Source organism: Homo sapiens, chromosome 11, assembly GCF_000001405.40.
Source record: "Homo sapiens chromosome 11, GRCh38.p14 Primary Assembly".
Taxonomy (NCBI): Eukaryota; Metazoa; Chordata; class Mammalia; order Primates; family Hominidae; genus Homo; species Homo sapiens.
Genome location: NC_000011.10, coordinates 6,304,706 through 6,318,589, shown reverse-complemented (window position 1 = coordinate 6,318,589; position 13,884 = coordinate 6,304,706).

Genomic DNA, 13,884 nt, shown 5'->3' with positions numbered 1-13,884 from the left:
GATTCCTTTCTTGGCCCTCTTTTTACTCAGGGTACTTTTCGGTTGACATTCATGCCTAGGCCTCCCCTACCAGCTGCGTACACCCCATACCACTGTCTTGAGCCACAGTTGAAAAGTGCTTCAAAAGTAGCAAGTATCTTCTACCTTTTAAATTCCATTTCGTTCAACAGCTATTTATTGAACACCTACTATGTGGCAGGCCCTACTAGGTATGGTTCAGAATATTTCCCCCTCTTGTGTTTTCTTTACCAATGATGACAAAAAAAATCAATATACCATCATCCACAGAGAAACTTGGGAGTCCTTGTCGGCTCAAGGACTTTCTCTCATCCCCCTCCCACATGGAAACAGCTATTCTAATGATTTTACCTCTGCAATCTGTCCACTTTTCTAATACAGCCGCTGCCTTATTTCAGGCCTTTCACTTGACCGGTATTTGAACTGCCAATCTCATCACATCATTCTTGATTCAAATATTTCAGTGTCTCCCCATTATCTTCAGAATAAAGACCAAGCTCTTTATAATTATTTTCAAGGCCCTTTGTGATCTGGTCCCTGCCTATTTTTGTAGCCTCATCTCTCACCACTTCCCCTTGTGCTACCATTGAGTCACACTGAGCTCTGTGCTCTCACTGTCATCCCTGCTATCCTGCCAAACTCAGTAAAGCACACCTGTTTCAGGGCCAGGTATTTCTCTTCCTTCTCTCAAAGCACCACTTGCACACCTCTAGTGCTAACTGCACTGATTGTGAGGATTTGTGGTTACGCCCCCTCCGATCTACTAGATTGTGACTCTCTTGCAGTAGGGACAGTTTTATTAATTTCTGTATTTCCCACACCAAATACTGTGTCTGGCACACGGTAGACCTTCTTGAGGGGCTGAGGAGAGTTCCCTGCTGCAGTAAAGCAAGAATATTACAGAAGGGGCTGGGCACGGTGGCTCATGCCTGTAATCTTAGCACTTTGGGAGGCCAAGGTGGGTGGAGGACTTGACCTTGGGAGCTCAAATCCAGCCTTGGCAAAATGATGAAACCCCATTTCTACAAAAATTACAAAAATTAGCTGGATGTGGTGGCTTGTGCCTGTAGTCCCAGCTACTTGGGGGGCTGAGGTGGGAGGATCACTTGAGCTCAGGAGGCAGGGGTTGCAGTAAGCCAAGATCATGCCACCGCCCTCCAGCCTGGGTGACAGAATGAGACCATGTTTCAAAAAAAAAAAAAAAGGAAAAACAAAAAACTGGAAGTGGGAGTGGTGGTTAAGGATGAGGAGCACAGTCACCTACTCCTTCATTCAGTCACTATCATATAACAACGTTTTTAATACCTACTTTGTTCCAGGCCCTATGCTAGGTCTCATGAACACCTTGGGGAGCTCGGGATTTAGAGGGAGATACCATCACCAATTGTAATGAATGATGGTTACATGTAAGTTATTTTGAGAGCAAATGGGGAAGGGGCATGACCCAACCTGAAGGAGGAAAAGTGGGAGATATATAAGGAATTGTTCTTGGAAATGGTAAATAGTGAGATGGAAAACAGGAATGGCAAGGGGCAGTAGAGCTCAGCGGTGGGTAGTTTGGGTTCTCTGTTCCCTTATCTATAAAATGAGATAATTATAGCCCCTTACTTAGATTGTTGGAAAGATTAAGTGACATAAATCAAGTGCCCAGCACATTGCCGGAGTATAGTTTTTGCTCCATAAGCTTCAGGTATATAATTTATTTGTCCACTCATTCAACAAATAACTTACTGAACTCTTAGGGTCTTCCAGGTGCTATTTTAAAATCTGAGAATACTGCCAGGCGTGGTGGCTCACATCTGTAATCCCAGCCCTTTGGGAGGCTGAGGCGGGCAGATCGCTTGACTCCAGGAGTTTGAGACCAGCCTGGCCAACGTGGCGAAACCCCGTCTGTACTAAAAATACCCAAAAAGTTAGCCAGATGTGGTGGTGCACACTTGTAGTCCCAGCTACTTGGGAGGCTGAGGCACCAGAATTGCTTAAGTCTAGGGGGCAGAGGCTGCAGATTGCACCACTGCACTCCACCCTGGGCAACAGGGCGACAGTCTGTCTCAAAAAATAAAATAATAACAAATAAAGTAAATAAAATAAAATCTGAGGATACAGTGGCACATAAGAAAGAGAAGATCCATACCTCTATAGAGTTAAATTCCAGTAGGAAGAGACAGGTAATAAATAAGTAAACATGTAAGCCAGATAAAACAAGTAAGCACATGAACCACAAGGGCATTCTGGTTATGAGCTCTGAAGAAAAAGAAAACAGACTAAGGATACAGATAAGGTTTGTGGGGGTGTTCTTTAGATAAGGACACTGGGGAGTAATATTGGGACCAGAGTTACACGTATGAATTACTCCTTGACACTTGAGTTTGAGTGGTGTCACATTTTTATTTTCATGGATTCAATAAGAAGAGTTTAAGCCCCCACATGCCTGCCATGCTGTTGGGAAGTTGATGATTAGCAATTTTAGTTATCTTCCCGTTTTCGAGACTGTGCAGTACCAGGGGGCTCATACCATCTCTCAGCCTTTGCATGTCTCTGCTGCCCTTGCTCCTTATGACCACACGATGTCAGTGTCGGGGAGCCAGTGTCCTCGTTGGTGCCTCCTCTAATTACCCGGAGGTCAGCCTGACCGGCAATATATTGGGGACAGTTAGGGTAGAGGAGGTGTAGCGGGCAGGGGTCCTTCCATGGAAGGCGGCTCTGCAGTAGCTCCATTTGGTCTGGGGAAATTCAACCCTTCTCCTGCAGGCTCCCAACCCTGGTGCTCAGACTGTGCCCCTTTCAAGGTTTGGCCGTCTCAATGGGACTGGTATGAGCAGACTCAGTTCTCTGTCCCCAAGGAAAAATAAATTCTTGTTTTTTCAAATTCCTGGAAATCTACTTGATTTTCCCCTTTCAACCCACAATTAGAATTAAGAACTAAGTGTGCATTTTCCGTATAAAACATCTTGACCCCTAGAAACCCAAAGGCTTGACTAATTTTGCAAGGGAAGGGTATATTAATGTTTATTTCTTCCTGAGTTGTCTATAGCAGCAAATAATAAGATCAAGTTAAAACAAAATTAGTTAAATTTCTTCATAGCTCATTTTGTTATATTATGTTCTCCATTATCACTGCTGGTTGTTATTATTAATATTGTTAAACATTAATGGCCAGGTGCAGTGGTTCATGCCTGTAATCCTAGCCTTTTGGGAGGCTGATGTGAGTGGATAGCTTGAGGCCAGGAGTTCAAGACCATCCTGGGTAACATGGTGAAACCCTGTCTCTACAAAAAAGTTTAAAAAAAAATTAGTTGGGCATGGGGGCACACCTGTAGTCCTAGCTACTTGGGAGGCTGAGGTGGGAAGATTGCTTGAGCCCAGGATTTTAAGGTTGCAGTGAGTTATGATCATGGCACTATACTCCAGCCTGGGTGACAGAATGAGACCTTGCCTTTAAAAAAGTAAAATAAAGGAAGTGGAGACAATGACAGAATACCAACTTGTCATCCAGCACATGTGGCATTTAGCAGCTATTTAAGCAGACGGAAGGTACATTAGTGGATCATTAACATTCACTTTGGCTTTCAACTTTTCAGGCCAGAAACACAAATTTATCTTGCATTCCAGCAAGATTAGGCTGATCTGCAATAACTGCACTCAGAAAACACTGATTAATTTGATTGCTGGATTCATTAATTTCCCGAAGAAATCTAATGGCCAAGTGACTGGAATAGTCTAGCTAGCTATTCAAAACATTTTTCATCCTTCAACAAAGTCTACATGGGAAGCCAAAGTAAGATCTTAAACTAGGTATAATGCAATAGAATAGTAGAAACTGGATAAAGATAATGGGCAGGATAATCTAACATAATATGCCCACTTTCTGCTTTGACATGCCTCTTACATGGGCAAAAATATATACATTCCTGGCAGGAAACTTCTTCCCTAGTTAAGAACTAGACGTCCTTTTGATTTTCCTTTATTGTGAGCAGAGGAATCATATAACCTCAGCATTGAAGAGAACGCGAATGCTGTCTATTCCACAAGCATTTCCAACACTAAAGTGTTCTGTACTGTCTTGACATCTATCCTTGTGGTTTCAGATATTTCTTAGTTTCATCAAAGGCAGACAGAGTTTGCATTCATGGTCTCTTTTCTATTTTAGAATTATTTTTAACATGATGGTGGAAAGCACAGTCTTTATTCAGTCATTTTAAAACAAGAGTCCAACAATCATCCCCTACCCCCGGTCCTGTGAGATTGAGCTTAATTATTCTGATAGTTATTTTCTTTAATCCATAACCTGTGTCTTAAGCATGGACATTTTGTTAGGAAGTCTGGTTTATTAGAGAAGATAGGTTTGAGATGATCCCCTATTATGAGTCATATTGTTTCTGGACTTCTATAGATCTTCCTCTCTCCAACACAGAATGAAGACAGAGCAGTCCAACCCAATTTAAACAACTCCTTTTATTTCACAGAGACTCATGGACTAGACCATTCTAAAGTAATGTGGATTATTAAATGTAGCATTAATTTTATGATATCATTATTACTTCCTGTATTCTTTATGTATTTACATGCCTGGTTTATTCTGATTTCTTTACCCACTTTCCCCAACAGTCTACCTGTTTTGCCCTAACCTTTAGATATCTCTAAATCTGGCTAGTCAAAATGTATTTTAATACTCTTAAACTTAAAAAAAATTACAAATGTACCCTTCTTATGTTTGCATACCATTTGAAATTGTTAACATCTGTGTTGACCAACTCTCCGAATGTTTGATTCAGTTAACTTGATCATTATTCCATAATTTTGTAAAGCTAATTTGAAAGATACATATCTTACTTTTTAGTATGATTTCCCTTCTCCTACCTTTCATTTTTAGAATAGTTATGAATTCATGGCTCTTTTTAAAGACTGAATTGGTATCAATTGCTGGCTGGTAGGTTTTCTCCTGATGCTTACCTGTCACTTCTTGGTATATGGGAGCTCTTTTCAACGTGTTTTTTTTTTTTTTTTGCTATGATTTGAGTGTGTCTCCAAAAATTCATGTGTTGGAAATGTAGTCCCCATTGCAACAGTTTTGGGAGGGAAATGAGGCCTAATGGGAGTTGTTTAGGTCATGAGAACTCTGACCTGTCAACCTAAATAACAAATGGAGAGGAAGACTCTCTAGAAGAAAATGATGTTTATTTGGGAATAGGCGTTACAATGGGAATGTGTATGTCTTCCACAGTAAATTATGTATATATTCAGGAGGTAAAGGAAGACAAAGGTTTTTAAAGGAAAAATGAGGAGGATTATATAATTGTTCTGAGATAATTATTGTTGACTACAAGGATTAATAACAAAGGTGGTGCCAGTCCAAGATTGGACAGAGAGTTGCTAGGCAGATGTCCTCTCAGAAGCATTATTATTATTATTATTTTTGAGATGGAGTTTCGCTCTTTTGCCCAGACTGGAGTGCAATGGTGTGATCTCAGCTCATCGCAACCTCTGCCTCCTGGGTTCAAGCAATTCTTCTGCCTCAGCCTCCTGAGTAGCTGAGATTACAGGCACGCATCACCATGCCCGGCTAATTTTGTATTTTTAGTAGAGATGGGGTTTCTCCATGTTGGTCAGGCTGGTCTCGAACTCCCGACCTCAGATGATCTGCCTGCCTCGGCCTCCCAAAGTGCTGGGATTACAGGCATGAGCCACCGCGCCCGGCCAGAAGCATTTTTTTTTATGTGTAAAGTTGTGATGGCTTTTGTGCAGGCTGTGGTTTTGCAAAGTCTTTTGTGATATCAAGAATTCGTGCACAAGAATCCCTCCTTCATACCCTTCCTCAGCTCTATTTGTCAGGGTTTTTAACACAAGTGACTCCATTTTGATTTTGACAATTTTCATAGCCCTCATGAATGGATTAATGCTGCTATAAAAAGTGCTTGTGGGAGTGGGTTTACCCCTTTCTGCCTTCCACCATGTGAGGACATAACAAGAAAGTCCTCACTAGATGACAGAACTTTGATCTTGGACTTTATAGACTCCAGAACTGTGAGAAACAAATTTCTGTTCTTTATAAAGTACTGAATCTCAGGTATTCTGTTATAGCAGCACAAAACAGACTAAGCTTTTTTGTCTTTTTTTTTTCTTAAATACTTGAATCATCTATGGAGGTATTCTTGTTTTCTTGTTACAACAGTCTATTCCATACTTATCTTGATTTTCTAGTATGTGGCCCAAGTTATCTGGTGATACCTTCTGTGGCAAACCAGCATAAGACCCAAGTCTGATTATTGAGTAGATTATTTCCCATGCTTCCACTGCGGGCAGGGTGACATCAACAGCTGCTTCAAATGTTCTTATGACAATCAGAGTCTTTTAGAATCATGAGTTTATTCTGATTTTTTTTTTTCTTCTTAATCGAGACAGAGTCTCACTCTGTTGTCCAGGCTGGAGTGCAGTGGCACAATTTTGGCTCACTGCAACCTCCGCCTCCCAGGTTCAAGAGATTCTCCTGCCTCAGCCTCCCAGGTAGCTGGGATTACAGGTGCATACCAGGACGCCCAGCTAATTTTTGTATTTTTAGTAGAGACTAAGTTTTGCCATATTGGCTGGTCTTGAACTCCTGACCTCAAGTGATCTGCCTGCTTGGGTCTCCCAAAATGTTGGGATTACAGCTGTGAACCACCGCGACCAGCCTTATTCTGATGTTTTTAACTTCAAATTCTTCCTTACTTTAACTCTTTCAAGTTATTTTTCTTTTTTCAAAGCAACTATTGTTTACTCTAATACAACATCCTTTCACAATCTTTGATAAGCCAATATTATTCTCAGATCAAACCATTTGCTTATTATATTCTTGTTTAAAACATTAGAAACTTGTTATTTCTTTTTAAAAACATAATTTTACTTTATCCAAGCATATTACAAAAGAATACCCATTTTGGGCTTTAGGGAGAACTGATATATTCTATAACATGGTAAAAATGCATAAGAATGCATGGGTATAGCAAATATTGTGTGTAGTATAATAAATATGTATTATGTTCCCTCCTCCTATTGTTTAAGCAACTTAAAATTGATTTTATAGAATATAGATCCAAACAGGGTTTCAGCATCATCTGAACATAACAAAAATCTCTCTGAAAATTAAAGGAAAATATAACCTCATCCAGGGTAATACTCTTTGCATAGGTTAAAATATGCCTTTTCCATATTCCCAAATGCATTTTTTATAATAATTTGCATGATTATATAAGCCAGAGATAAAACATGTGGCCATCTTTAAAAATTAAGGTCTAGACACAGCTTATTTCACCAGTAAACATTTTTCTATTTTACTTAGCAGCATCTAATAAGGAAATGTCCAAATTGAGAGATATTATGTCTTTCAGTTTTCCTATATTATATATTACTTTATATACTTTTACTGCTATATTTTTGTATTTGAAACAAAACATTTAGTATAAAAGTTGCCAAACTTAAAATTATACAGATTAACTTAAGAAACCTCATGCAGAAACTTTACTAAAATGGGAATTGTGATAGATTCTTCCCCTTCTTGATTCTGAAGCACTGTCTCAAGGTGGAACTGGCTCAAAAGACTCCCTCCATGCTCATTTCTCCCACTAGAAACTATATGTGGTATGTTTCATTTTAGGTATCTTTTTTTCCCTCCTTGATATGTTGCTTAATTCAGCCTGTCAAGATCTTACTTATCCTTGAAAGTGAAGTTTCTTGGAAAATCCATTCTGGAAAAAAATAAAAAAAATAAAAAGCCATGGCTTTAGACATGTTTTAACTCATGGTGGCAGTTTACTTTCCTCAAATAGAGTCCATCTTACTTCAGTATACTTGAAAACCATAGATCATTCTGGAGTAGACAAAGTTCATGGTTGTTGTTGTTGTTTTTTTAAATGTCTTCACAGACAAATCACACATTTAACCAGAAGCTGATAAGATTTACAGTTTTTCAACTTCTTACATATATAATTCACATATTTATTCTGGTCAAAACACGCTCTTCAAAAAATAAGTTTCACAATGCGATCCCACCTTACTCCTGTGAGAATGGCCATAATCAAAAAATAAAAAAATAGTAGATGTTGCTGTGGATATGGTGAACAGGGAACAGTTCTATATTACTGGTGGGAAAGGCAACTAGTCCAACCACTATGGAAAACAGTGTGGCGATTCCTTAAAGAACTACCATTTGATCCATCAATCCCACTACTGGGTATCTACCCAGAGGAAAAGAAGTCATTATACAAAAAACATACTTGCATACGCATGTTTAATAGCAGCACAATTCGCAATTGCAAAAATGTGGCACCAACCCAAATGCCTATCAATCAACGAGTCGATAAAGAAACTGTGATATATATATATACACACATACATATATAGACATATATATATACATATATATGTCTATATATATATGATGGAATACTACTCAGCCATAAAAACAAATGAGTTAATGGCTTTTGTAGCGACCTGGATGAGATTGGAGACTATTATTCTAAGTGAGGTAACTCAGGAATGGAAAATCAAACATCGTATGTTCTCACTCATAAGTGGAAGCTAAGCTATGAGGATGCAAGGCCTAAGAATGACACAATGGACTTTGGGGACTCAGGGGGACAGGGAGGGAAGGGGGCGAGGGATAAAAGTCTACAAATACGGTGCAGTGTATACTACTTAGGTGATGGGTACCCCAAAATCTCACAAATCACCACTAAAGAACTTACTCATGTAACAAAACACCACCTGTTCCCCAATAACCTATGGAAATAAACAAAAATAAGTTTCAAAAATAAGTTTCTTATGTTTATGAATGGAAACTTCACGTCCCTAATTAAGTATTTTATAACATTTGCTTAGAAGACATCTGTTCAAGCAACTATATTTTGGAGACACTGTCACATAATTTTGAGGTCAGAATACATCTCCTCTCCCCTTACTCCTCACTTCTGGAAGACATTCCTTTCCACCATGGATGGAAAGATTAAACATTTACATTTCAAACAGAATATCAGAGTTAAAATTATCAATTTACAACCAGCAAAGGAATAAGTACTTACAATTTCAATGTTTTGACTTGTTTCCAGTCTTTTATTTGCCATTCCTTTAGAGATAGTTGGTGAATTTGGAGAATATACATATCTCTATTGTCACTCTCTTTCATGTCGAAAACCTTGACTTCTATCCAATTTCTTTTGCTAAATTAAGATTCTTCATTATTTCAGATCTTCTTCATTTTAAAGTTGACATTTTACATGCCAACTTTATGTAAAATGTGCAGGAATATTTTACATAAAGTAGAAACTATTACTTCTTTAATTTGATAGAATTTGTTTTTAAAATTTGCAGAACATGACGTATGCGGTAGCTCACACCTGTAATCCCAGCACTTTGGGAGGCCGAGGCGGGTGGATCACCTGAAGTCAGGAGTTTGAGACTAGCCTGGCCAATATGGTGAAACTCTGTCTCTACTAAAAATATATTTTAAAAAATTAGCTTGGCATGGTGGCACGTGCCTGTAGTCTCAGCTACTCTGGAGGCTGAGGCAGGAGAATCACATGAACCCGGGAGGTGGAGGTTGCAGTGAGCAGAGGTTGCACCATTACACTCCAGCCTGGGCAACAAGAGCGAAGCTCCATCTCAAAAAAAAAAAAAAAAAAAAAGTCATTTTTTTCTTTATATCATTTTGGTTTTTATTCTTTCGTTTTTCTTTTTTAGCTATGTATAGACACATGCATAGCCCAGGAAATTTTTACCATAAAGAGTTAGGCAATCAGCATAGGAGCTAATATCATTAAAAAAAGTACAACATCCACAATAATAAAATTTCATGCAGCTATAAAAAATGATTTAAACTGATTTTAATAATGTGAGAAAATTCTAATAATATAAAGGTTACAAAACCAGAAAACAAAATAATTTACATAGTATGATTCCAACTATGTTTTAAAATTAAAATGTGCATAAGAGGAAAAAGACTGGATCAAAATGTTAATAGTGATGAGGGTTTAGGTCACATACTTTCTTCTTTATATTTTTTTCTTAATTTCCAAATCAGGTTATGTTTACAATGAGTACATATTCCTTTTATAAACAGTAAAGAGTAAATATCAAAAAATGTTCAGAAACATTGAAAAATAGACCCAAGCAAATAAAAGCTGTCAGAAGTGAAAATGAAATTTATGAGCATAAAGTAGTAGAGAAAGGAAGATTGAGGCAATTCTATGCTGACATATGGAGAATTCAGAGAAGAGTTGAAGAGACTCAATTTAGTAAAAATGCTTCATTTGACTTATAGAGAATCGTGTCTTGAGACTGTAAATTTTATCCTTCCAGCATCCACATCAGGTTCTGTCAGACTGTGCTGAGAAGCAAGAAAAAAAAAGAAAAAAGAAAGAGAGAGAGAGAGAGATTGAGAGAGAGAGAGACAGCCCCTGAGTTGCTGCAGTCAGTCATTCCTCCCCTGACAGAGCTTCACAATGGCGTGCTCCTCCATTCCAGCTGAGCGGGCTCATCCCAATCACGTCAGCGCCAGCACATGCAGGAAAATAAAACTGTAGGCATTTGAGTTACTCATAGGGAGCTAAGGTTAAATAAAGAGGTGACAGGGTAGAGGCGGTGGTGATGGTATGAATCCTAAGCCCTGGCTTTCAAGGCATACGTACTTATGCTTCTCAGAGTATCTTTAAACCGGAGATGTGACTGTGAACAGACAGAATCAAAAGACAGGAGTCCTCACCAGGGGAAAACAAGGTGAGGTGACTACACTCTATGTTAATTACCAACTTCTTATGTATGCAGTGTCCCAGCCTATATAATCACCAGCCTCTCGTATACGCAGTGTCTTGTATTTACAGCAGCATCTCAAAAAGCAAGCTTGCCATCTTCCATCCAATTTCCCTTTTTCTTCCTTACTTCAGCTAACCCTATCTCCATTGTCCCAATTCCCAGTGCTTCCTTTCTCCCCATCTCAATTATCTCCCATGTGCAATTAGTCAACAAATCTTGAAGATGCTAGGTATACATTTCACAAATCCATTCTTTCATTTCTGTTTCATTGCCACTATCCTAGCATAGAATCTCATTGATTCTCATATGGGCTCCTGAAATTCTCTCTTAAATGTTTGTACTTCAATCTATTTTATATGCTCAGTTGGTCAGAATGCTATTCCTGATTTTTAAAACCATATGATCTTCTCTTCCTTTTAGTCAAAGTAGCATTCTTGTATGACATTTGTTATTATATATTCTGTTTGTGCAATTGTTCCATTCTTCACTGTATTGTAAGCTCCCTGAGGGTAAGGACATACTGAGTTTATCTTTCAGAAATTCACAATGCTACATGTATATTCAGAAATCACAAAATGCTTGTTCCATTTCATAGTGGGCCCTTGGTATATAACTTAGCATCCCCTCTCCTCTCCCCTGAGTAAGAAGAAGCTCCTTCCAAAAGCATGCCTTAGGTAAAAGAAATGGAATTGGTGTGTCCTCTTTGAACCATAAAATCTACCTCTGTAGCCTCTGTTTCTCCCCAAATCACCAATTAGTGACAGAAATTCATTAATTCCCAGTCCATCCAAAATAGGCTGAGCTCATCATCCTTCTTTCATAATTGCCTGTTTGCTGGTAGGTTGTTAGTACCTCCATCTTTGTTGGGGATTGATGCCTATGAAGTGTTTTCTACTAGGCACAAGTAGATGTCCCTCTTGTACTTTGACAGACACAAGTTCCTGACTGCACCCAAATCTGAGATGACTGCTGTCAGACTGTCGCCACCACCCAGATTGCTCTGCTTACTTTCCTGGAAGCAATTTGCTCTGTCACTAGGAATCTGTGTTCCTCAAGCTTTCTGCCACTCTACCATTGCCAGTGCTTTGATATTCTGCTATAGAGAGGGGCCTTCTGCCCTTGCTCCAACTAGGTTTGGGGATGAATGCAAGATTTCAAAGGGGAAATCTTGCTGATCTCACAATGTCTCTGAAAGCTCTCAGCTCTTTCAAACATTCTATTTCAAAAGAAAGTTCTCATGTTTTAGGATTTCTCTTCTGAGTTTCTCAAACTCAGCTTGCAACATTTCTATCAAGGGAAGGGCTGAAATCTTGATCTTTTCTCTAAATCAGTGGGTTGGGGGATCTAAGAGAATACTTCAAGCAGACTCATTTTGACGTTTAAGCATTAATTACCCAGCCAGACTGTTAAATACATTGGACTTTATGATAGTGAGAGGTTTGTTCTTCTAATCCTTTTCAACTAGCTGCTAACTTGGCTCTCGACTTCCAAGGTTTATAAACAAGTGAGCCTCAAATATATGGACATGACCATCCACCCTTTATTTCTTCCTGAAATACAGACACAATAAAACCCACACATTTTGCCTAGCAGATTTCAGGTTATACTAATGAGAGGAAAGTAAATAGAAAAAAACAACATTCTAACTCACATTGAACAAAAATCAACTTAAAGCTTACTTGAAGATGGCAGAATACTAAAACTGTAAGGATAATAGAAATACCTAAAACAGGGGAAAAACTTCAAAAACAAGAAGTAACTACAGGCAAAAATTAAAAATAAATATAATAAATTAAAAAGCTTAATAGCATGTTTTAGTCTGTTGTGGTTACTATAAGAAAATACAATAAACTGAGTAGCTTATAAACAACGGAAATTTATTTCTCATACTTCTGGAGACTGGGAAGTCCAAAATCAAGATGCTGGCAGATCCAGCATCTGGTAAGGGTCTGCTCTCTAGTTCACAGATGGTGCTTTTTCTCTATGTCTTCACATGGTAGAAGGGCTGTGGACTCTCTCTTAGGCCTTTCTTATAAGGACATTAATCCCTTTAATTCTCATGATCTAATCTCTAATCACCTCCCAAAGGTGCCACCTTGTAATATCATCACCTTGTCTGTTAAGATTTCAACATATGAGTTTTTGGGGGACACAAACATTCAGATCATAGCACAACTTCAACAAAGAGCAAAGCTACAAAAGCCAAACCCTAGAGGGAATCTCCGCAGTGTGGTAAACACTCACTTAGCAGATTGACTTTTCAGCACTGATTAAAGGAGCAGCCACATATATTCAAATAGAATTATGCTGTACTTTACTGATCCTTGCTCGCTGATTCACAGCGAACTGACCCAGCACTATGCACTCCATCTAAACTAGGTCAATTACCCTCTTTTCTCTAGACCAGTTGTTCTCAACTGCAGGCATACCCTCCACCACCGACCCCAGGGGGGACATTTACCAATGTCTGGAGACACTTTTTAGTGTCACAACTGGCACCTAGTAGACAGACATCGGGGATGTTGTTAAACGTCTTACAATGCACATGATAGTACCTTACAACAAATAATTAGCCTATCCAAAATGTCAATATTGCCAAGATTGGTAAACCTCAACATTTGATTGATGCCTGATGTGACCATTAAACAGACTATTTCTTACATGGGTATCTATAGTTAAGAATTGGTGAAAGATATTCTGCTAGTATGTGATGAAGGGTGAGATGGGGGAGCTTTAAGTTTTACCACTTCTTTTTCTTTTTTTTTTTTTTTAGTTTTACTTATTTTTTAAGTTAGAAGATATTGCCTAGAATTCATAAAAACATTGCAATGATACAGGTTGTAATTCCGGATAAATTGTTTGGTAAAGAGAAAGTTGAGTTTATTATTTTTTTCTTAGTTAGTAATAAACTTATTCTATGCCTCTTTCTCTACAGTACTCAATATAAGAGACTGTGCTGAAGCATTAATGTAACAATATTTATTGTTAGTCAGGATGAATCCCTCACTCACTCTGGAGTCCTGTAATACAGAACAAGCTATTTCTGTTGTGAAGACTCTACAATTCATGCTTCTGCATATG